The 26,161-nt window shown below is 36.1% G+C and overlaps 1 protein-coding gene across 14 annotated transcripts in view; it reads right to left on the bottom strand.

Moving 5' to 3' along the window:
• The window catches only part of A1CF (APOBEC1 complementation factor), an 86,219-nt gene extending 83,387 nt beyond the window's left edge, over positions 1 to 2,832 (bottom strand). For all 14 annotated transcript variants that reach the window (XM_011539729.4, NM_001370130.1, NM_001370131.1 and 11 more), the window contains exon 1: positions 2,786 to 2,832. The gene's annotated coding sequence lies outside the window, so the exon portion shown is untranslated. The remainder of the gene's footprint in view (positions 1 to 2,785) is intronic.

A 26,161-nucleotide genomic window follows, 5' to 3' on the forward strand; every position in this document is an offset into this window, starting at 1 on the left:
TGAAAACCATTGTGCAATAGTACCCACAGTACTACTCAGCTTTCTAAGGGATGACAATTTTTAAAAGACAGTTACTGAAACAGATTTTTAACATCAACTGCCTCCATGATGAAATGAGCATGCACTGTGTCAGGGTGTCCCATGGGTTTGGGTGAAAAGGTGTTGGGGTTTTATAACTAAGAGTTTTCTTCAGCAATAATCTCTAAAATAAAAATATACTCTGTGTGTGTGCTTTAATACTAAAAAAATTTACAGACTGTCTTTCTCTGAATAAATGGAATAGTGCTACTATTTGTGATTAATCAAAATTTTTTATGTACAGTTTGTGATTTCAACTTTATTAGTATTGTTTTGAAAAACAAGGCCTAATAGGTATACTTGGGCAATTTTAGAAAATTTTTCTGGAGGTTGTTACAAATAGGAAAATGAAAAGGGAAGTGGGGTTTTTGCTGAATTCTTAAGTACCGGGGACCACATTTCTCTCCTTTGCTTTATCATCTAATTTAAACTTCACAAAATACTATGGGTCAGATCTTACCCCCATTTCACATTTGAGGAATCTGAGATTCAGTGGAGTCAAACAATATGCCCAAGGTCACAAACCTAGGGAGTTTTACAATAGGCGTTTCCACTTAGCTGTGTCGAGGCACAAAGCCTAGTGTTCTTTCCGTAATTAATTTTAAAAGTTTCTCAGATAGGCATAGTCCTATTTGGTGGAAGACTAGACTCTAAAGTCCTTTAGATTTTTCAACTGTGATTATTTCAATGGATTCTGATTGTTCTGAATGCTGGACATGGGCTATAAAAGCGATTTGGTCTTTCTTGTTCTGTATTCTGAGAAATGCCAATTTTGAGAGATATTGATAGATGTTCCTGAAAGAAGATGTTCTGTTGTAAATTAAGCCCAGGAAACAAAACGTTGCCTACTCTCTTAGATAGTTGTGATAAATGACAATATTTGCATGTGTCATGAGTCCCCAGTGCTCGAGCGTATGATATAATGGTTACGTGCTTGGGCTCTGGATCAGACTACCAGACAAAGGAGCCTGGCTCTGCCACTTGCTAACTGAGTAGCTGAGCCTGTTAGGTAATTTGTCTGTGCCTCCATTTTCCCATTTATAAACTGTTATAATAGTATCACACCATAGAGTTGTTCCAAGAATAACATGAGATAATGCATGGAGAGAACTTAGAAGTAGACCCGATAATATAGTGCTTCACAGATGCTTGTTATCATTATTACTCAAAACACTCATGTGGTAACAAAACCTGCTATAACTTTTCTAACACTGTTTCCTCAACTTACTTGACAATGGAGTTGCTTTTCTTTTGAGCCACATTTATTAACATCCACTGAATATAGTGTAGGAAATGTTGATATTTGAAATGACATAAAACCACCTTGGCATTAGTGCAGTAGAAAATAAGAACAAAGTATTTATAGTGTTTTAATATCCATTATGTCATTTTATAATGTTTGCCCACAACAATATTTCTTTTCCTTGCCAGCTGTCTTCTTTTTTCCCTTGAAATCGATAAATAGTAAAATAGAACAGTAAAATGTTAAGAGTTGTCTGAAATGGGCAGAGTCAATGTTATTCCAGAAAGTATGAACCTTATAAGTCATTTGTCTCTTTCTCTGTATTTAGCAGGGCAAAACCTTACTGCTTTGACAAATAAGTGATATCACTGTCATTTCCAGACCTGTGCTCCCATTGCATGCTCCATAGCACACGTTATAAAGAAAATTTCAGAGCAGACCAACACATTTTTTGATGCTCCTAAACTATAACTAGAGCTGAATTTGCCAAAATACGATCTATAAAACACTAATCCTGCACAATGTGCAAATAATGCTGTGTTCTTCATCTTCTTGGAGATATACAATACATATCTGAAAAGTCCTATAGTAAATAAAATTGTTTAGTTTGGAATCCTTTCTTCTTGGAATTTACATAGGTAATCATGACAAAAAGTCAGAGAGTTTAGGGGGTTTCTGGTAAAAATGGGATATTTTTGGTAAATGTCCAGATTGATTTCTTTCTTTAGCTAAAATACCATTATAATGTTTTTGGAGTACACAAAAAAAATATGTGAAAATATATCCACCTCAGCACAGTTGCCCAAATTGTGGAAACAATATAATAATTAGCCATTCCAAGGTTCAGATTTAACACACTGAAAACCAGTCATTTTCCATAATATTTTTTTGGTCAGAATCAAAAGTGAATAGTTTAAACATTCCTTTGGTTAGCAAGATAATGGCAGGCGGAATCGCAAGAGTTGTACCAAGACTTTCTTTTTTATGGTGGTAGTAGCTCTGGAGATAATTGAATATATGAAGTCTAAAGTATGATAGGAATTATGACCCACACACAGAACTCAAAATCTGCTGGTGATGTTAATACTATTTCTTTTGTTAATTATATTTTTGTTTCTCAGGGTCCTAGGATTGGGACAGGCACTCAACCACAACTCTCCCTGCTGTCTGGTTAGAGCTAAATAAACTTCTCACAACATTGGCTCCACTCTTGAACCCTCCGTGGTAAGTCTACAGAAATTTATTAAATCCTGGCAGCTATCTCATTTAGAGATTATATAATAATTCCAATATATTCTTTTGTTTTCTGGTTGTTTCATTAGTCTAAAAACAAGCTAGATAATTCTTTGAATTAGGCTCGATAACAGAAGAGGGTAAAAGCTGTTTTCACTGCATTCCCACTGATACCACAATACACAGTTTCACAGAGTTGAAATAGAAAAAAGCAAAACACATGGATCATACCTGAGTAATTTCAGAGATCCCCACCCGGAAAAGGTTTCCTTGATTATGGCGAATTCAACGTGTCACTCGGGTTATGCTCTAATCGTCATATCAAACTCCAAAGGTTCAGTGGCTTTAGGTTTGGTTTACAATTCCTGGGAGTTAAACTTTAACTCACCCTGTCTCTTGCATCCATGCAGCCCTTTGACCAGATAATTGGGTCACTACAGCCCAGATATAATCTACTAAAACTATCTTTGTTATTTGTTTATAAAATTAAAATAAATGTTGTAAAAATGTTGGGGTAAATATTATTTTGAAGATATTTTATTGGCTTATACGATATATTTAAAAAGTAAAAACTCACTGCAATTGGATACCTAAGCTTTCCTTTATGTTACTTCCTTTGTTTTTTACTATGTCAAAGTGATATTATAGCTAAGGTAATTTAGGAGAATATTTCTTTGTTTTACACTTTTTATATCACTATATTACATGGAGTAAAGTGTGGAGTTTTAGGTCAAGTACGTAGATAAATGCTGGCTTACAAACAGAAAATACACAAAGCATTTATATAACAAAGTAGATAGATTTAGGCCAGATCAGGTTGGGGAAAGCATACTTCTTTGTATACAAGCTGCTCATTTAGATTTTAAGAGGAGGCCACTGTGTGAGAAGCACAATAATCAGCTACATACTGGGGTTATATGATAGCTGATGCTATTGTTCATTGCCTGAAATCTCAGTGGTAACTGAGTTTCTTGAAAAATAGAGAAATGGTGCTTTCAGAAATACAAACATTATACTCTGAGTTCTCTGGTAAGAGCTGTAGTCTACAGAAGAAATCCCTAAGGGTAATAAAGCCCACATTTAAAAAAGGAAGAAGAACCAAAACCTTCCTAATTTTGAGTAAATTTTGGTTTAAGAGCTTGGAAACCACACATTCCAAAACTAGAATTAGAGGATACCCCTACTTGCCTTTAGTTCTAGTAAAAGGAGTCTAATTTTCTAGGAACCAACTATTAAGAGAGCATTTTTGTCTATAGAAAAGCACAAAACAAGCAATCCTTCTATAATATAGACGCAAAGGAAGATCCATCAATTAAGCACATCTATGAATATGTAAGAGAAGAGATAAAAGATACTGTTGGAATGCTAGTTCTGCTTACAGTTTTTAGTTCTCAAACATGGAATTATTTCAGTTCTCAAACATGAAATGATTTACCATTTTCCCATAGCAATGGATGATAGAGTTTAACAAAAACACCCCAGGAACAATTGTTTTACCCCAGAATTGCTCCCCTGATGTTAGACCTAGAGAAAGCATTTATGCCCCACCCAGCTAGATAGCTGAATGAGGGACACATCCCTCTACTTCCTTCTTGGGAAGGGATTCCCTCACAAAGTAGCCCTGATGGTTTCCTAGTGAAAGCTCAGTCTGGGGTTGCATGGTTCCCAATTGAGTGGGGAATTCTTTGAGTTTGCCCAGTCCAATAAAGAACTGTTGATGTTGTAAGATGGACAGTTTTGAGAGGGTTTCTTTTATTGTTTTTTGTGATAGGGGCTTAGATGGTGATAAGTGGAGATGAAGAAAGGAAAGCTAGGATTTTTAGGCATCTGATGGAAACACCAAAACACAACAGGTAAAAGGAACGATATTAACTAGAGTCTCAGTCCATTCAGGTTACTATAATAAAATACCATACAAGGCTGGGTGTGGTGGCTCATGCCTGTAATCCCAGCACTTTGGGAGGCTGAGGCAGGTGGATCACAAGGTAAGGAGATTGAGACCATCCTGTCCAACATGGCGAAACCCCATCCCTACTAAAATACAAAAAAATTAGCTGGGCATGGTGGTGCACACCTGTGGTCTCAGCTACTTGGGAGGCGGAGGCAGGGGAATCACTTGAACCCGGGAGGTGGAGTTCGCAGTGAGCCAAGATCATGCCACTGCACTCCAGCCTGGGCAACAGAGTGAGACTTCATCTAAAAACAAAACAAAAGAAAACAAAAAGAAAACCATACAGTGGGTAGCTTCAACAACAAACACTTGTTTCTCATCGTTCTGGAGGCTGGAAATCCAAAATCAGGGTGCCAGCAGGACCCTCTTTTTGGTTATGTCCTTACATGGCCTTCCTTGGTGCATGCATGCAGAAAGAGAGATCTCATGTCTTCTCCTTTTTAAAAATAAGGGCACCTATTTTTAAAATGAGGGACCTAGGTCCTGAGGGTCATGAGGGACCTAGCCTCATGACCTACTCTAACCATAATTACTTCCAAAAGGACCTATTTCCAAATACCATCACATTGGGGGTTAGGGTTTCAACATATTAATTTTAGGAGAAACACAAACATTCAGTCTATTGTAACCAGTTATTAAAAACATGTCAGTTGCTTATTTGATGGATCCTGGCATTCAACAGGGCAGGACTACAATCGCATTAACCCAAAATCTGATGATTTCCGTAGGACAATTCATATATTACTCCTAACAGCCAGTGGTAGTAATGAATTTGGTAGTAATGAATTATTAGGTTATTGCTTTCTATTTTTATTGCTTTTGTTTTTTAAACCATTTTGTTACAAGGATAGGAATACACTGATCAGGAATAAAAATAAAAACAATGGATCAGCCTTTCTTTTTCTGAGGGGTACTTAGAGAGAAAGTCTCTGGCCCTGGGACAGAGAAACCAATCCATCAGAATGAGATCAAATTTATGACCTTGATCTCATCAGTCTAATCAAGAGAGCTAACTGTACCCAGGATGGCAAGATTTGCCTTTACTTTGTAAAAATAAACCAGTTTAGATAGTGGCTGGTAAATGTGAATTTTCTATTACTTTATTCTACAAACAATTACTGAGAAACTTCTCTCTGCTAAGTGTTGCATTAGAAAGGTGATTACTTAAAATGAGATTTGAGTCTATTAGTAGGCTATAAAATCAATAAAGTGGGTTGTATCTAACATATTAAAATAGAACAGAAAATATCAAGTGAATTGCATCTAGAAAGGGTAATACTGGCCAGGCGCGGTGGCTCATGCCTGTAATCCCAGCACTTTGGGAGGCCGAGGCAGGCGGATCACCAGGTCAGGAGATCAAGACCATCCTGGCTAACACGGTGAAACCTTGTCTCTACTAAAAATACAAAAAATTAGCTGGGCGTGGTGGTGGGTGCCTGTAATCCCAGCTACTCGGGAGGCTGAGGCAGGAGAATGGCGCGAACCTGGGAGGCGGAGCTTGCAGTGAGCAGAGATCGGGCCACTGCACTCCAACCTGGGTGACAGAGCGAGACACTGTCTCAAAAAAAATACAAACAAAAAAACCAAAAAACAAAAAAGAAAGGGGTAATACTATTTATGAAACTTTTTTTCTAATTATGTATCTATCTGTGTGTATTGGTTATGAAGTAAACTTTATTTTTTATTGTGGATCACAATTTTAAGCGTTTGGAAAATACTGTGCTAGTCTTAAGGGATTCAGTGGTTAACAGACCAGATGGAAGGTACACACATTAAGCATATACCCCAATGATTAACTAATTATAGTTGTAATAAGTGTTATGAAGGAGAAGTACAGAATGCTAAACAGAACATAAAACATAGGGACCTAACCTTGTGTAGGGCTGGGTGGGTTGGGAGGTACTTGAGGAAAGCCTTCCAGAACACAAGACATTTAAGCTGAGACCTGAAGGATGTGTGGATGGGAGGTGGGCATTCTAGTGAGTGGAAATAGCTCATAGGGATGCCCTGAGTTCGCATGAGTTAGGCACATTCAAAAAACTGGTAGAAGGTCGGTTGTGAAGGGCAAGAGGGAAAATGATGGGGAAATTGACTGGAGTAGGTAGCCAAGTCAGACGATTCATAAAGGGCCATCACTAGATTCCCAGCATTATCCAGGGCCAATGGGAAGGAAGTCACGGAAGCATCTGAAGAAGGGGAGCCACTTGGACTATTTGTGTAGATTCTGGGTGTAGAGTGGAGAATAAATTGCCATGGGATAACACTGCCTGCTTCTCTCCTTTTTTTTTTTTTTTTTTTGTTGTCTTAGAATAATTTTACTCTTGTACATATTCAAGTAAGTTGGTGATTTGAACTTGAAGGAGGCAAAGCATCTAAAAGAGACCAGTAAGAGGGGAGGTGGCAGGTGATGGTAGTTAAGATTAGGGTGGTGGCTCTGGGAAAAGAGAAAAGTAGACAAGGTCCATGAAATGTGTAGGAGGTAAATCATCAAGAGGATATGGGAACTGAGCAGGGCATGACATCTAAAGGACAAGTCTCAAATTACTGAATGCAGCCATTGGCTGGATGGTGATACTATTTGCTGAAATGAGAATGCTCAAAAAAGAAGAGACTTACAAAAATAGGCTATACCAGGTCCATAGTAAGTACTCATTCGGTGGTTGCAATGATCAATCATTCATACATGAAATATTTGGCTTATGGATTTTAACGAATCTTGCTTTCACTATCAGAGTACATTTAGGTAAAAATCATTAATTTTTGCTGGTGAAGGCAAAACGTAAAGCTTAAAAAAAAAACAAAATATAACTAAAAGTCAAAGATTACCAAGAATAAGAAGCTTCCTTCCCTGCCACCATCCTCCCTGCCCTGGCTCAATAAAAATATCTCTTGCAGGTGGATCATGAGGTCAGGAGTTCGAGACCAGCCTGGCCAAGATAGCAAAACCCTGTCTCTACTAAAAATACAAAAATTAACCAGGCATGGTGGCTGGTGCCTGTAATCCCAGCTACACGGGAGGCTGAGGCAGGAGAATCACCTGAACCTGGGAGGTGGAGGTTGCAGTGAGCCAAGATCGCACCACTGCACCCTAGCCTGGACAACAGAGCAAGACTCCATCTCAAAAAAAAAAAAATCTCTTCATTGATTTCAGTGTCCTTGGAATTCAACATTCTATTTTTGAGTGTTTGGTGGGTGTGTGGGTGGGGTTGTTTAATTCACTGGAAGGGAGCATTTCAAAGAATTGAAGGGCCACATCAGGCACACTGAGTAGTGCAAAAGCCTCCTTCTCTTTCCTTGCCTATTGACTAGAAAGTACTCTGATCCAGGAGTTGGGACCTTAGCACTTCAATCCCAAGACACTATGACTTATGAGCTACTTAGCCTTGAGGAAGTTTCTGCCCCTTTTCTGAGTCTGAGTCCTTGCCTTTCATGGGGAAAATAACTACATCCCTGATCTACCTCACTGATTGTTGAGAGGGTCAAGGGAATTGATATATGTAAAAATGACTTGAAAATAATAGAATACCATGTATTTACAGAGTGGGATGATTGCAAAGCAGATTAGATCTGTAGCCTTTGAGGTGATGTCAGTGCAACTTCTTGTTTTGATCTGTGAAATAAGAACTTCTAGGATTTATGCCTGTTCCTTTGGAGATTCATAACATTTCAAACCTAAATGCTCAATGCTATTCTTAATGTTTGCAAGACTTTGGAAGACAGCAGAATTTGATTCAGTGGGTTAGAATTCATCTGTTTGCATAATGTCATATCCCAGAGTTTTAGATTTTTGAAAATGTATCGGTTTTGTAACTGGAGCCATCTAGTGTTGAGTTGATTAAGCACACACACAGGTACACACACACACACACACACACACACACACACACACACTCTCTCTCTCTCTCTCTCTCTCTCTCTCTCTCTGTCTCTCTCTCTCTCTCTCCTTTATTTTGTGCTTTAGGAAATTGCATCTTTTTCTCCTGGCACATTAGAATGGTGTTTTAGTATAACATAATTGTAGGATCTGATGAGAACTTAAGAATTAATGTAAAGCCCTGGCTACATCTAAAAACCATGGTAACAATGGGATGCTAGCCTGGCCCTGACCTTTCACCCTGAGTTAAGTACCTCCCACCTTTCCTTGTTCCTTTTCATCCTTACTCCTTTGTTTAATGAGTGTTCTTGAAATTAGAATTTTTAAATGTGGTCTTCTTATTTTTTTAAAAAAGAAATATTATTTAGCTCAACCAACATAAAAGCAAATACTGATTTTGTGTAAAAGAGCAATTTTAGAAAAAGAAATCCAGCTACCAAATCTGGTGTATTCCTTTAGTCATGTTAGAAAATTACAGATCATCGGGTCTTTAATCTGTACTAGAATCTGCTCCATTCTCTTTACTGTAAAGAAACAAATTCTCATAGAAAAATCTGCACTCGCTTTTATACAATGACCTGAGAAAAAGTTATCACATAACCTCTCTTTTAATGATCATGTCATTACCTATCTCTTTGAGTTAATTTTACTAAGTTTTGATAAAAAGAGATATATTCTTTTCAAAAGGTAGGGGACACTGGAGGAAGCAAAGTTAAAATAAGTATACACATGTGTTTGTGTGTGCACCACACAAACATTTGACAGATGACTAACGAATGACTCTGAGAAGCTAACTACGTCAATTTAGGCAGTATTTTTTCATTTTTTTCACAATAAAAACTAGATCTGGCCACTATAATTTCCAGAATTTAAATCAGGACTAATTCGTCAAATCCATACTTTCTATATCCAAGTAGAAAACATTTATCAATAAAATAAAAAGGGCATTTTTTTTCTGATTTTCTTAATAAATACAAGAAAAACTTGAGAGTTAAGAGTAACAAAAGTGGAATACTGAAATGCTAATTGTATGCATTCATACATTTTCAAATGGAAAAAAAAGAAATCTGAAACTAATGGCAAGATTTTTGTGAAAAGAATATTAACCTTTCAAACAAAACTGAGGTTATGTTTGAGGAGCTGAATTCTCAATTTGTGTTATTTGTAGCTTATGCAAAATGGAAAATAACCTTTCAAATGTGCTTTGCAGTTTCCATTATACTTTCAGTGGATCTTAACAACAATCATGTCAGTATTAGAAGCTGGTAGAGTATAATGTTAAAAAGCATGGGTTTTCAGCCCAGTTACTTGGGTTTTTAATATCCCGAATCAACTACTCACTGATTACCTGCTTTCAGGTAAGTCATCTCACTCTCAAAGCATCTATTTTCCCATCTAGAAATGGGGATAATAATAGCACCCACCTCATAGAGTTCCCATAAAACTCAGAGGAGAGATGTGTTGGCAAGTGCTTAGTCTAGTGACAGATTCATGTTAAATATTTACCTAGATTTGGAAGGGTGGGGAGATAGGAGGGGGATGAGAGATGAGATATTACTACTTAATATTACTTAATGGGTACAATATACACTTTTTGGGTCATGGTTACACTAAAAGCCCGGACTTAACACTATGCAATATATTCATGTAATAGAACTGCATTTCTACCCCTTATTTAACAAGAAATAAAAATATTCACCTATATTAATTTTATATTAATCAGTTTTAAAAGGAGTCTTCAACATTAACTGTATTTCTTCCATTATCCTAGCAAACAAAAATGAAACTGTGATTCTATGTAGTCTCAAAATACACTGCTTTGAAAACCATAGTGTTTTCTGTCACAAGGTCTAAGCCCATCTGCATGGCTTGGTTAAAAACATTATGTATTTACACTGTGGAGTGTTTTGAGCTTCATGCTTTGAGTTTCATAGATCACTGTGGAAATTAAGACGTTGTTATATGTATTTTATCCTTACATCAACTCTGGGAAGTAGTTAGAGCAGGGGGTGCAATTTCTTCTGTTTTGAAGAAGAGGAGGAAAATGAGATAATAAGGTTAAATGTTTTGTGCAAAGTATTGTCACACCAGGAACCAGCTTGGGGTACAGCAAAGCATACAGGCTTTGGCCCTTGACTCTCTAAGAGACCTTGGAAGGTGTCTTAATGTCTTTGAATATCAATGTTCTTATTTGTAAAGTAGGGTTATTAATCTCCAAGTTATATTTTTTAAAATAATTAAATGATCTATGTGTTTGTACCATAAGTGAGCTGTGTGTGTAAAATATATATGTGCACATATACATATATACATTTTACATCTACACACACACATGCACACAGAGAGACACATATAAACACAGCTTGCCGGTTCTGTTTCTCTGGAGCACCCTGACTAATACATCTTTCTAGATCACAGAATATTCCAATTGAAAGGAAGTCTAGAAAGACTGTCTTCTGATCCTGTTTTACAGATGATGAGAATCACTTGGAGAGGTGAAATGATAGAGCTGGGCATACTGCTCTCTAAAGCCTCACTAAGAGCACTTTGTTAGTGATTTTTGGCACTAGAAAAGTGGGAAACGGGCCCAGGTAGGTTATGACTGCAGCATGAGGAACCCCAGCACACAGAGGACGAACTACGCAAACTTCAGTAGTCCTCACACAGCCTGCCTCTCTCTCTCTCTCTCACACTCTCTCTCTCTCCCTGTCTCCCTCCCTCCCTCCCTCCCTCCCTCTCCCTCTCTCTCTCTCCACACACACACACACACACACACACACACACACACTTGCTGGAAGCAGACTACTATAAAACCTACATTTGAAATTTGACAGTAATCAAACAGGGGTGATAAATTAAGAAACGAACAGACAAAATTAATAAGTATTTTTAAAACAGCAACTCTGAAACAGAAGCAACAAATTCTGAAGGTAGATTGTCAAAGAATTATTCTCAGAGACATTTGATAGAAAGTTGCCTTCATTTAAAAAAGGTTACTATAAAAGAAAAATCTTGGACAACTAAAAATATATTCATTTCGGTATTATTGGAATTTTGACAGTAAGACATCTCAGTAGTATCTAGAATATTATTCTAAAAAGTTAAATCTACATACTGCTATTGGTGATGAGGTTGCTAAGTAAAGTGGTTGGTAAAGAGATGTTTAAACCAATTGAATTTGGTGTGTAGGAACAGAGTTGGGTCAAAAAAAAGAGAAGTCTGGGGTTGCTCACTGCCATTTGTTTTAACCTATCATATATATATATCATATATGACATATATATGACATATATATGACAGCTACTCTTCAGCACTCATATATATGTCATATATATGACACTTCAGCACTCATATATATGACATATATATGACATATATATGACACTCTTCAGCACTCATATATATGACATATATACTCATATATATGTCATCTATATGTCATATATATGTCATATATATGACAGCCACTCTTCAGCAGCCTTCTATATATATGTATACATATGTATAGATATATGTATATATGTATACATATATATATATATATAGAAGGCTGCTGAAGAGTGACTGTTTACTTTTTGTTCTTTTTTAAAAGAATGTTTTTTACAGTGCATAGAGCAGAATGGACATATTTTAAGTAGCAGGCAAATGTTTTTTCTTCCTCACTCTCTGCCGGTAGGGTGGTGGCAGTTGATGTTCTCTTGCCTTCTTTTCTTTTTCATTTTTAAAATCTTTATTTAGTGTTCACCAATCTCCTTCTTACATTTTGTTCTACTAAAATAATCAGGGAAAGAAACAGAACTTGGGTATAAATGCCTTGATGTGCAGCTAAGTTCAGTCTGGTTTTAGGAAGGAATGGCATCGGGGGCTACTGACCTCTGCTTTTGTGTTGCCCCTCATCACCTGGGTACTCATCGGCACCCTGTAACTATTAACTTCCCTTCCAGTGGTAAGATCTTGTGATTCTTTCATTCTGTGACTGTGATTCTACCAACTTGTTGTACCATGACTCCTAGAGGGCAGGTGCACTTGATGAGGTTAAAGTTCTGGTAAGTAGGAAGCTCAGAGTGAACTTTTGTGTGGACCATCAAATCAGAAGTTCCAATGAACAGGAAAAGAGAGAGAATATGAGATTTGGAAAAGTTTTTAGTCTGACTCTCTCTTTCAGTAATTGAGGTAATTGAGTCTCATAAGGAAATGACCTATACGGGTTGGCAAAAGGATCAGTTTGGAGGAGAACATAGGGAACTGAGATAAGAAACTCCTAAACTTCAATTCTGACATTAGAACTTGGTGAGTTCTAGGTTTGAACTGGGAGGTCAGTACTGGAGTGCACTGGGAAGACATGCTGAGTAGTAACACTACTAAGTACCTGGTAGGAAGGTGCAGGGGCTAAGCATTTGGGCCCTCAAGCTGGATTTCCTGCTTACTTCAAATTTAGAACCCCTATTCACTAGCTGTGAAATCTTGATGAAATTATTTAAATTTTTTTCTCTCTAAAATGGAGTATTTAAAAAATAAATAAATAAAATAAAATGGAGTATTTTTGTTTTGTTTTGTTTTTGAGAGGATCACGAAAATCTCTATTTTTCTATGAATTTGACAAAAATTAACAAATTATTTTAAATAGCATTAAAAATGGAAAACCTTACAATAAATAAAAAACTGAATTCATATAGAATTACATGTCAAGATCCTCATAGTTTGTTGTTACAGGAAAATAGAAAATTGCACAGCAATTCTATTGTATGATACCTTTTAATAATTCAAAAGAAAGCAAAAACACATGCATAGCAAACTGGATAATGTATTTGCATAAATATATAGTTATATATGTATTCCCATACATCAAATTTTACTAGTAGTGGTTTGTGAAAGAGGATTGAGGGGATAGATAAAGGAGGACTTCCAATGTATACATTCTGTTAAAATTTTCTCACTATTTTGCAGATTCACTAGAGTGTATCTAGGGCTTCCTCTAAGAGAACTTAGACTTTATTCAGTGCTAGAAATGATCAGCTGCTATCTCTTTACTATCGCCTCTGCACTATTCCCTATATTCTCTTCTGGATCTCACTTATAGATGATGATAGAGATAGATAGATAGATGATAGATATAGATCTATTTTAAAACGGTTTTGTTGAGATGTAATTCACATGATGTACACTCTATCCACTATTTAAAGCATTTTGAAATGTCTGAAACTGCTCTCCATGTTTCTTAACTGCTTTTTCTTTTTAAATAAAATGGGGGTATTTTAAGGATTAATTAAGATAATTCTATAAAACACTTAGTCTATCGTCTGGTGTACAGTAAGTATTCAATGAATGTTAACTGTAAATTATTTAAGTAAAACATGAGTTCCAATAATATGATTAGTTCATTATTCAGAAGGATTTAGTAATAAGAGAAGAAGGAGCGAGTCCTTTATTTGTTACTGACAAAGATATATAACAGAAAGTGAAAGGGCTCACAGTACATTGAGTTTGTGTCAAAACATAAATTTAAATGTATGTTTGGAGCTCATGACAGTGTTATTATATCTAAATCTTGGAGTAGGAGGATTGGAGAGGAAGCCATCTCATGGTTTAAAATGCATCCCAGATTGTGTTTGCTTTGGCCAACCAAAATGTTTCTTGATTTTTTTGCTGGAAATATTTTGGCCTGTCCACATGGATTACTTCTAATGCATTAACTTCACACAATGAAGCACCACTGAAAATGGAACAACCACACTTTACAACCTCACCCAGTTCTGTTCACTCAGTTGGAAAATGAGCTTCCTGTTAATGATAGTTATTGTGGATTCATTTGCTGCAAAAAGGACATTCAACCAAAGCACCAATTAAAGGCACACTTAAATCAGCAAGACCTACTTTGCTAAGTTCCTCTGAGTTCAAACATCTGACTGCTGACTTTATGCCAGAGGAGTTATTTTTTACTATACTTAAAAAAAATTAGCAGAATAGTCGATTGACATTTTTATCATCCTATAAACTTTATATATTCTTATATATATATTCTTATGTAACTGTGACCAAGGCAAGCCTTTAAAAATGATTTTATCTCATTAGGTCTATGCTCTCCATGGCATACAATATAAACAAATTATTATAGGTGGTATAGAAAAAGCAGGAGTCAAAGATTTAATTTTGAGCTCTGGCAGGTCTAGCCACATCATTTCTGAACCTTAGTTTCCTCATCTGTAAAATGGGTTTTTCATACCTATCTTCGGGAGTGCTACAAAGAGTGAGATGGATACTCTATGTAAAGATTGCTGCCTTGCTGAGCACATAAGCATTTAATACACATTGATTTCCTTTGTAGACTGATGGCTAATGGTGGTGTCTTGGAGAGAACTCACACTTATATACCTTATTCTCTCCCAGGCAATCAGGCAATGGTCCTTTGCTAGGCTAACTCAATGAGTGACTCTAGTAGTGTAGATTTATAGATAAAGAGGCAAAGATCCTTTTTTTTATTAAACAAACAAAGCTTATCAGAATAAAAACAGTAGCTACTCTTTAATGAGTCTTAACTCAGCTTCACCAGGACTGCCTCAGGAAGCCATTTATATACCTACACATACAAAAGTCAATTCTAGCAATTGCCTGCTCTACTACTTCCCTACTCCTCTCTTTGGGGGAACTTTTTTTTTAACTTTTGAAGGAATGTTTATTAAGGTGTAGGACAAGTACATTCTAGATGTTTTTGCAACTGTTTCTTTAAGATAAACATTATTTTTACAGGAGCTTTAAATTTACAGAAAAATTGTAAAGACAGAGCAGTTTCTATATACCCAACACCCTGTTTCCCTTATTATTAATATAGCATTAGCACAGTACACATGTTATCATAGATGAGGCAATATGGTTATTAATTTTTAACCAAAATCCATACTTCAACCAGATTTCATTAGATTTTACTTCATATTCTCTATCATAGCGTCTCATCGAGGATACCATATACATTTATTCATCATGTCTACTTAAGATCTCTTTTTGCTGTGACAGTTTCTTAGACTTTGTTTTTGAAGACCTTGACAGTTTTGAGGGGTGCTGATCAAGTATATTACACAATGTCCCATAATTGGAATTTATCTGATGTTTTTCTCATTATTAGACTGGGGTTACAGGTTTTTGGTAGGAAGATCACAGGTGTAAAATGCTGCCTTTATGACATTCTATCAAGGGTATATTCTAGCAACGTGATATATGGCTGTTGATGTTGACTTTGATCATCTAGATGAAATAGTGTTTGTCAGGTTTCTCCATTGAAAAATTACTCTTTCCTTTCCCTTTCCACATTGTACTCTTTGAAAGGAAGTCGCTCTGCATAGCCCACATCTAAGAAGTGGAAAGTTATGTTCATTCTCCTTTTGGGTATAGTATCTGCATATATTATTTGGAATTCTTCTGCATGGGAGATTTGTCTCTTTGCCCCTATTTATTTATTTAATTATTTATTTAAATCAGTGTTGACTCATGAATATTTATTTTACACTTCGGGTTATAACCCAATAATACTTTCATTATTCAAATTGTTTCAGCTGTGGCTATTGGGAGCTCTTTCAGTCCCCTTAGTTGCTGCATCCAGGCACACTTATCTCAGTTGTACTTTTACATATATTTGTATAATTTTCAAATTTAATGTAGTTTCCCCTCACAAAATCATATAGTTTATGGGGGAACGGTAGGTATCTTATTTTGTTTGAGTGTTTATTACCTTATCCTTAATATTTAGAAGTGTGCCTGGAGTGTAGTAGATGCTCAGTGAATGTTAAGTGGAGAAATGTATGAATGAATGAGTATAAGAATGTATCAACATTGTGTAAGGCACATTACGTATACCATTCCAAAACTTCAAAACAGTTGTCAAAGGAAAGCATTAATAATGCTTTCCCTATTTGATAGATGAAGGGATTAAACTCAGATAAGTTAAGTAACTTGCCCAGGGTCACTCAGCCAGTTAGCAAGAACTTGAACCTAGGATTGCCCAACCTTATGCCCATAGGCGGCCATGAATATTGGTATTGAGAAATACGTTATGGATTTTCAAGACCCTAAAGTTATATCCATGTGCCTATAACCACCTCTATCATTATTTCTCTCTGTCTTTTTCTCTTTCTCCATATTTATATACAACCAGATATTGTCTATTAAAAATGGACCCCAAAAGTCAGCACAAATTTCAAGAAAATATTTAAATGTTGCCAATCCTTTACTCAGTGCCTAAGTTATGCACCTATCAAACATTTCTCCCATATCCCAGTTTGCTGGAGGACCTAAAAAATTTGAGCAGGTCATATATTTAAAGCAGTATTAGCTCACTGAACACACTGGAGAGAGTTGGGTAAAGTACCTTTTTGATCTGCCTGAGAAGACCTAGAAGAGGTCCTTGGCTTTATTATATCACCTTAGAAATTGATGTTGAAAAGTAATGAAGTATAAAGGAAAGCAAATACGTGTAGGGTATTAAAAGACCAGGTTTGATTCACAGCTTTGCATTTCCCAGAAGAACTGCAGGCAAGTTCTCTAGTACTTTCAAGCCTCAGTTTTTTCTTTTATATTTAATAAAATGGTGATATTAAAATTGCCCACTTCATAGGTGAAGATTAAATGGGACACTGTATTAAGTGCATAACACAGTGCCTGTCACATAGCCTTCTAAAAAATTTTTTGTTACTGCTGTCATTGTCTTCTGTCTTCTCTAGAGATCAAAATGTATTTGAGAGTTTAAATAATGTTTTGTTTTCATGGAGGACTGTTATGGAATATCAGGAGATTCAAGCTGAAAACTCATTTGCTGTACACAACTGGTTTTGAAGAATATTTAGTTTCAAGATAAGATTATTTCTTTTGTAAAAATAATATTATTAACTGAAATATGTTTACTTTTAACTTGTTCTCTAATTTATAAAGAGAGCCTCCAAGCTCTAGTTAACTGCCACACCTCATAGTCTATGAAAAACCTACCTCCCACCCCCTTGTTAATGACCCAGAGCACAGATCATCACTCACTGTACTTACATAGTACTTTCGAAAATTTTCTTTTAAACTAGTAATACCAAACTTAAATTTGTATTAAGACAAGTAATGTCAAATATTACTCAGTTTGGGTGAGTTGGACCACGAATTGTAATATGGCCATGACTGTGATATCTACTGCCAACCAGTTTCTATCCTCTTCAAGAATTGCTTTCTAATAATGCGGAAAGTTGCACTAATAATTCGCCATCCAAACAGCAAATCGCTGTTGCCTTACAAAATCCTTCAACTCAAACACTTTCCTTGGCTCCAGCTCTCTAGTTGTTCAACATGGTTCTAAAGACGTAATTCAGCAATGATGACAGGAGGCAGGGTAGCCTCTCAGGGGGCATGTTTTTATGTGGATAGGGTCCACTGAAGTAATAAAAAATAAAGACATTTATTGGCATACATACTGTATTTCAGCAATTCTAAGATATGCATTTTCCATATTTTAATATCTCAGACTGCATCTTATAATCACTATCGGCCAAATAGTGAATATAATGATGTTATTACTTGGGCATGCACATCAATATTTGAAGGATTAGTTATCACTGGTTTGGAACAAAGTCCTGAAGATAGCAGTGTGTGATTCTTTTTAAAAATGTGTATTCAACCATCTTGATGGCACAGGGAGGGAAAGTATGTGGAGAAACCTAGACCTAAGGAGAGCCAGACTGAGTGTGAGAAGTTTTGCGATGACCTTAAATTTGTTTTCCATCTGCTCCTTATTATTATGTATGAAAGCATATGTAATGAAAATCTATATCCAAATAAATCTAAAGAAGCTATTTCAGCAAGAAAGTTTTTTTAAAAATCTAAGGGATAAGAAAGCATTATGTCATGGGGCAGTGTTTTTCTTGTCTTACTGGTGCATAAAGGGGTATCTTACCCTTGTAGTGTATTAGATTTGATAAAATATGGTAGCTGCAGGTCCTCAAGTAGCACAGGCTTTGGTTTTGCTATAGAGCTTCTGGCTTCATCTTCCATCCAATGCTCTTGGTTTAATGTGTCAGCCTCATGCTTAGGTTGGTTCAGGCCTCGCATCCTTATACAGAGGTCCAGAGGAAGACAGAGATCTTCATGGGTCCATTCTCCTATAACCTCTGTCTGTAGGAAAAAGCTGTAAGCTGCTTGGCTTACATCTCGTTTCTTTAATTATTGGCAAGAGGGGATGACAATATAATGATTAAGATTAATCAGTATACAATTTGAAAACTACATGGGCTGGCACACAAAGGGAAGAGGATGGAAAGAATGTTGAAAGGCAACCTCATAGTGTCCACTACGATGGTTTTCTCTCTTTTTGTTTAAACTAATAGTGTCAAGGCACATTTTTAAAGTTTATCACTTTTGTTGAAACCTAAATCTCTTCCGATTACTAGATTCAATAAGCATCAAAATTTCTGGTAATTATCTGCACAAAATATAATATATTTTGTGTCTATCTGCAGATTACATAATATTATATGTAGAAAAGCCTAAGGAATCCACCAAAAAAGCTATTAGAATTAATTAACAAATTCAGTAAAGTTGTAGAATACAAAATTAACATGTAAAAATCATGTGCATTTCTATATACAAACAATGAAATATGTGAGAAAGATCAATAAACAATCCAATTTATAATAAATGGAACAATAGGAATAGACTTAACCACTAAAAACTATAAAGAATTGATGAAATAAATTGAAGAAGACACAAATAAATGGAAAGACATCCTGTAATCATGGTTTTGAAGACTTAATGTTAAAATGTCCATGCTACTCAAAGTAATCTGTAGATTTCAATGATATCCCAGAAAAATCCTAATGGCATTTTTTTTATAGAAATGGAAAAAGCAATCCTAAACTTCCCAAGCGAGCCACAAAAGACTGTGAATAGCCAAATCTGTCTTGAAGAACAAAGCTGGAGGCATCACACTTCCTGATTTCAAACTATGTTACAAAGTCTATGGTAATTAAAACAGTATAGTACTAGCATAAAGACATACAGCCAAATGAAATAGAATAGAGAGCCCAGAAGTAAATTCATGTGTATATGATCCACTGATCTTTGACAAGAGTGCCATGAATATGTGATGGGGAAAGGATAGTTTCTTCAATAAATGCTGTGGGAAAAACTGAGTATCTATATGCAAAAGAATGAAATAGGTCTTATATGTTCTACCATACACAAAATCAACTCAAACTGGATTGAAGACTTAATACCTGAAACTATAAAACTCTTAGAAGAAAAACTAATGGAAAATTTTCTTGACATTGGTCTTGGCAGTGATTTCTTGGATATGATAGCAAAGCACTGGCAACTAAAGCAAAAATCGACAAGTGAGACCACATCAAATCCAAAAGCTTCTGTACAACAAAAGAACAATTAGAGTGAAAAGGCAACCTAAAGAACGGGAAAAAATCTCTGCAAACAATTTGTCTGGTAATGTGTTAATATGCAAAATGTAAGAAACTTCTATAATTCAATAGAAAAAATCTGCAAAACAAAACATGATTTAAAAGTGAGCAAAGAACTTGAATAGACATTTTTCCAAAGAAGACATACAAATAGCCAACAGTATATAAAAAGTTGTACAGTATCATTAATCATTGGACATATGTAAGTCAAAAATACAGTGAAATAACATTTCACACCTGTTTAGATGACCATTATCAAAAATAGAAAAGAAAACAAGTATTTATGAGGATGTGGAGAAATAGGAATCCTTGTACACTGGTGGTGGGATGTCCAATGGTGCAGCCACAGTATGGAGGTTCCTCAAAAAATTAAAAGTAGAACTATCATGTAATCCAGCAATCCCACTTCTGTGTATATATCAAAAGAAATTAAAGTGGAAATTCTGCACTTCCATTGGAGAATTATTCACAATAGCCAAGATATGGAAATGGATTTGTTCACTTGTATTGCTATAAAGGAAAACCAGAGGCTGGGTAATTTATAAAGAAAATAGGGTTATTTGCAAAACAGCAAGGTATTGGTACAAAAACAGACACATACACCAATGGAATAGGATAGGGAACTCAGAAATAAAGCTGCACACCTATAACTCTCTGATCTGCAACAAAGTTGACAATAACAAGCAATAGGGAAATGACTCCCTATTCAATAAATGATGCTGAGAAAGCTGGCTAGCCATATTCAGAAGAATAAAACTGGATCTCTACCTTTCACCATACACAAAAATTAAGAATACTTAAAGACTTAAATATAAAACCTAAAACTATAAAAATCCTAGAAGAAAACCTAGGAAATACCCTTCTGGTAATCAGCTGTAGCAAAGAATTTATTACTAAGTCCCCAAAAGTAATTGTAACAAAACAAATAGATCTAATTAGGTGACATCTAATTAAACTAAAAAGCTTCTGCATAGCAAAAGAAACTATTAACAGAGTAAACAGGCAACACAAAGACAAAGGGAGAAAATACTCATATATTATGCATCCACCAAAGGTCTAATATCCAGAATTTGTAAGGAACTCAAACAATTGAACAAACAAAAGACAAATAGCTCCATCAGAAAATGGGCAAAAGACTTGAACAGACACTTCTCAAAAGAAGACATAAATGCAGCCAGTAAATATATGAAAAATGCTCAATGTCACTAATCATTAGAGAAATCCAAATCAAAACCACAATGACATACTATCTGACACTAGTAAGAGTGGCTATTATTAAAAGTCAAAACATAACAGGTGTTGGTGAGGTTGCAGAGAAAAGGGAATGCTATGCTTTCGGTGGGAATATTAATTTTTCAGCCACTGTGGAAAGCAGAAGACAGACCATAACAAATGTTGGCGGGGATGTGAAGAAAAGGGAATCCTTGTACACTGTTGGTAGGAATGTAAATTTGTTCAACCACTATAAAATAACAGTTTGGAGGTTCTTCAAAAAACTAAAAATAGAGCCACTATGTGATCCAGCAATCCCACCCCTAGGTATATATTCCAAATAAAGGAATTCAGTATATTAAAGCGATATCTGCACTTCCATATATATTGCTGCACTATGCACAATAGGCAAGATTTGGAAGCAACCTAAGTGTCCATCAATGGGAAATAAATAAAATAAATGTAGTACATAACAATATTCTGAGTACTATGCACCTATGAAAAAGAATGAGATCCAGTCATTTGCAACAACATGGATGGAACTGGAGGTCATTACATTATGTGAAATAAGCCACACATAAGAAGACAAACTTCACATGTTCTCACTTATTTGTGAGAGCCAAAAGTAAACAAACTCATAAGATGTAGCATAGAATGATGGTTACAAGAGGCTGGAATGCGGGTGAGAGGGAGTGGGAATGGTTAATGGGTACAAAAAAATAGTTTAAAAGAATGAATATAATCTAGTATTTGATAGCACAACAGGATGACTATAATAAAAATAATTTAACTACACATTTAAACTAACTAAAGGAATATAATTAGATTATTTGTAACACAAGGGATAAATGCTTGATGGATATCCCATTTACCCTGATGTGATTATTACACATTGTATACCTGTATCAAAATATCTCATGTGCATAATAAATATATACACCTACTATGTAGTCACAAAAATTAAAATATAAAATAGTAAAATGAAATGCATATGGGCAAACTATAAAATATTTTTGAAGCAAATATGTACAAAGCATATCAGACTTATTTGTTAGAATACTCTAGTACTTGAATATTTCTGTTGTAACATAAATGATATCAACATTTCAGGGAATCAAAGTTCAGTGTGGATATTTTAGCATAGTACATAAGAAAATTAAACACTGCTCTCTGGGAATATATTTGTTTAATGTTAACTGGTATCAACTGAGTGTCTTTGTAACCTAGGACCTTGGAAAAAGAATAGTTGCCATTTTCAGGATTGGGGAGAAAAGATGAGATCTGTTCTACACCCTGGGCTTATGTTTTATTATCTGCTTTACTTCTTGGAAAAGATATGAGAAGACACTAACTACTGGTAATTTGTAGATACAGAGAGATATGTTCCTCTTTTTTAAGAGAGAAGATGATGAAATTCTTAAATTATGGACAAAATGGCCAGGAGTGTCTAATTTCATTAACCAAGAGGGGGTAGTTGGAGCTTCTAGGGTGGCAAAGAAAGTTTGCACTGTTGTTTTCCCTATCACTATGACGAGCCTCAGGATGGGCTAAGTATTAGTGGTGCCAGGATCAGAGCTTCTGAAATATGTTCAAACTTATTAGAGCAAAAAAGTCTGAAACTGGGAGCAAAGAATTCAAAAATCCTGGGAATGTAAGAGAAGAGGTCTCACAGGTGACCAGAGAGGGGCTGTGGATAAATCCCAACTGGATTTCCAATGAAGGCCTTTTAGCAGAGTGACTAAGACCATAGGGCCTGACATTAGAGAGACTTGGATCTCTGCCACTTACCAGCTACATGACCCTCAACTAATTGTGTGACCTCCAACTTTAGTTTCCCTATCTGTAAAATAAGAATAGTACCTACCTTATTCTACTGTGTTTATTTATGTATTTATTTATTTATCTGGAGACAGAGTCTAGCACTGTTGCCCAAGCTGGAGTGCAGTGGCGCGATCTCTGCTCACTGCAACCTCCGCCTCCCGGGTTCAAGCAATTCTTCTGCCTCAGCCTCCCGAGTAGCTCGGATTACGGGATTACAGGTGTGTGCCACCATGCCCAGCTAATTTTTTTTTTTTTTTTTTTTTTGTATTTTTAGTAGAGATGGGGTTTTACCATGCTGGCCAGGCTGCACGGTCAGGTCTCTCGAACTCCTGACCTCGTGATCCGCCCACCTCGGCCTTCCAAAGTGCTGAGATTACAGGCGTGAGCCACCGCGCCCGGCCGTGTTTATTTCTTTCTTAACCTATTCCAGTCATGGCCTGTTTTTATTTCGTTTGTTGATTTTATTTGTGGTCTGTCTTCCCAAAGACAACATAAACTGCATGATGGTAGGAGCTTTGTTGGACTCATTCACTGGTATATTTTAAGCACTGGGTACAGTGAAGATATAAGAAAACGAGAAGGTGATTTGAAGACTATTGTCTTTAAGTAGATAAGAGGGGATGGAGTCAAGGAGACAAACTGAAAAAAGATGGGAAGGAAGAGGGCGATAGTCCAGCACTTCTCCAACTTTAATGTGTGTATGACTCTACTAGGATGTTGTTAAAATTGCAGATTATAATTTAGTAGGGCTGGGGTGGGGCTTGAGATTCTGAGTGTCTAACAAGCCTCCAGGTGATGTCAAGGCCATGTCACAGGGACCATACATTTAGTAGCATATTCTTGAGAAATTACTGGATCAGACACTGTAGTAGGGATGGGACTGGGAAATTGTGTTTTTAGCTAACTTCTCAGGTGATCATGATGTATATCAAAGTGAGAGGACTACTAGGAATAATAAGAGAGAAAAAAATAGAGATTTTAGGAAGCATAGAGGGGATGGCAGAGTTAGAATCAAGTTAATATCAGTTGACTATCAAAAAGGCTAAGATTAATATATGATAAGGCTGAATTGGGGTTCTGAGAGACTCTGAATTTTTATTTGGATCAAGGAAAAACTATGTCTTTAGCAGTGATTCCAACATTGCTATACTTTGTATTGCTTAAAATGAGAAATTACATATCCCATTCATTTTAACAATTATGTATTCTGATGAGTTTAAGCTGAGTGCTCTGAACTGATTGGCAAACACTGCACATAAATTGGAAAGCTTTTTAGTACCTGGCACTGCTTTTGTAAAGAACTAACTATGTCTAACAAGTAAAATTTGCCTCTACTGGAGAAAGCAGTGGCCAGCGTGTATTTAGGCTTCAATAAGATTTTGATTATTTTTAATATTTGCAAATTTGGGCACAAAGTTATCTTTAGACTGTATTATCAGTTGCTTAATATTAACTGGAAATTTTGGGAAGAGAACAAATTAGGTACTATTTTGTAGGCCTTTGGCCTTGGGCCACTGCTGTATACTATTTTTACATGATTTTAATGATGGAAGGAAAGAACAGCAATTAAACTTGCAAAGGTGGCAGAGCTGGTATCTTATGGATAAATCCAAATTCAAATTGTACTTAAGGCAGTGTAGAAGTGGTCTATTTTTTCACTCCATATAAGTATTTTATTAATGGATTTATTATGCTATATATCCATCATATCCAAAAACAACTTCGAGCAGACTCAACAAATATTTACAAGTCTACTATGAGAAAGACACCTTGGTAGGCACGGGGTAGAATACAGAGACAGAACAATTGAGTGCGGACTTCAAGGTGCTTACAACTGCATGAAGAAGGTAAGATGAGTACCTGAATAACATACAAGGCCTAAAGAGATATATCCTAGTAGAAATGGCAATGGAAGGCCATGGAAACTCTAAAGAAGGGAAGGGAGTTTTCATCAGCATGGATTACAGACATGATTCTGGAATTCAGCAACACTATTCAAAATGTAAAATACACATATACTTCGACTCTGCTGTCATAGAACAATTATAGTACATCCAGGTGCTGATCTAAGTTCTGTGTATCTTGACCCATATATAATTTTGCTGTTCCCTCGTTATGAGAAAAAAATATCAATGAGCCTATATAAGTGAGGGACCCTGGAGCTTGAGCACCATTAGCTTTATTATAAAAATCTTTCTCTGCTTTCTCTGACTAGAGCTAGAATGTATAATTTAGCACCATTTTTAGTGGCAAAAGAGTGAACTAATCAACTTGTTAGTAGAGTATTGATTAAATTATGACATATTTTATAATGGAGTATTATGCAGCTGCTAAGAAGGATGAGGGAATTCTATACATATGTACTGATATAGATACACACATATATATGTATATGTGTATATATATGGTGTGTGTATATATACATATATAGATAGATCTATGCATTCATATTGTGTGTGTATGTGTGTGTGTGTGTGTGTGAATATATATATATATATTCATGCTTATAGGTGCAATGAATGACCCTGAAACCAAATACATTGTTGCCTCTGGGAAATTCAGGGAGGTATGAGTGAGTTTCAATGGTGAAAGAAGACACACTTTCTAACTTCATATCCTTTGTACGGTTTGAATATTTACCATGTGTACCTATAGAATTTTAGGAAATAAATTTTAAAAGCAGCAACAACAATCAAAATGAAGAGCATTTGAGTCAGGCCCTGAGAGAAAAATAGCATGGATGTCTGTTTGGCTGTTGCATAGGGTGATGTTGGGTTCAAATGTCGAAGAAGCTCTTTCATGGAGGTAATGCAGAAACACCAAGCAGAGGACTCATTTGGCAGTAGCCATAGTTTGCAAATACTCATTTGGCAGCATTGGTGGTTTGCACTGGAGTGAGCAGTTTCTGAGCCTGTTACTATTGACCACCAGGAGAGACGTAAACAGGATCTGGACTGTGTTATGCAAGCAAGAGCATAGGCAAAATGATAGGAGTGGGTGGGAGATTGTGAAGATGGACACATCAGAGTCAGGGACTTCACTGGGTATGGAGAGAAGCTACGTAGAAAATGGTTACGGGAAATTTTGACAAAATAAGGTTAATTTAGTTAGAGAAAGTAGTGTCTGGTTGTGTGTTCTACATTGTTTTTCTCTGGTGGTTTGTGACGTGTATAAACTGTCTTACACAATTTTTCTCATTTGGAACGACTCCTGTTGCCATCAGCTCATTCAAGCTTCTTCCTTTTCTCGATGCCTAAGGGAAAGACAGGTCTTCTTTAGGGCCTAGTCTTTGATAGGAAACCCAGGAGGCATTAACA

This window comes from Homo sapiens, chromosome 10, assembly GCF_000001405.40.
Source record: "Homo sapiens chromosome 10, GRCh38.p14 Primary Assembly".
Taxonomy (NCBI): Eukaryota; Metazoa; Chordata; class Mammalia; order Primates; family Hominidae; genus Homo; species Homo sapiens.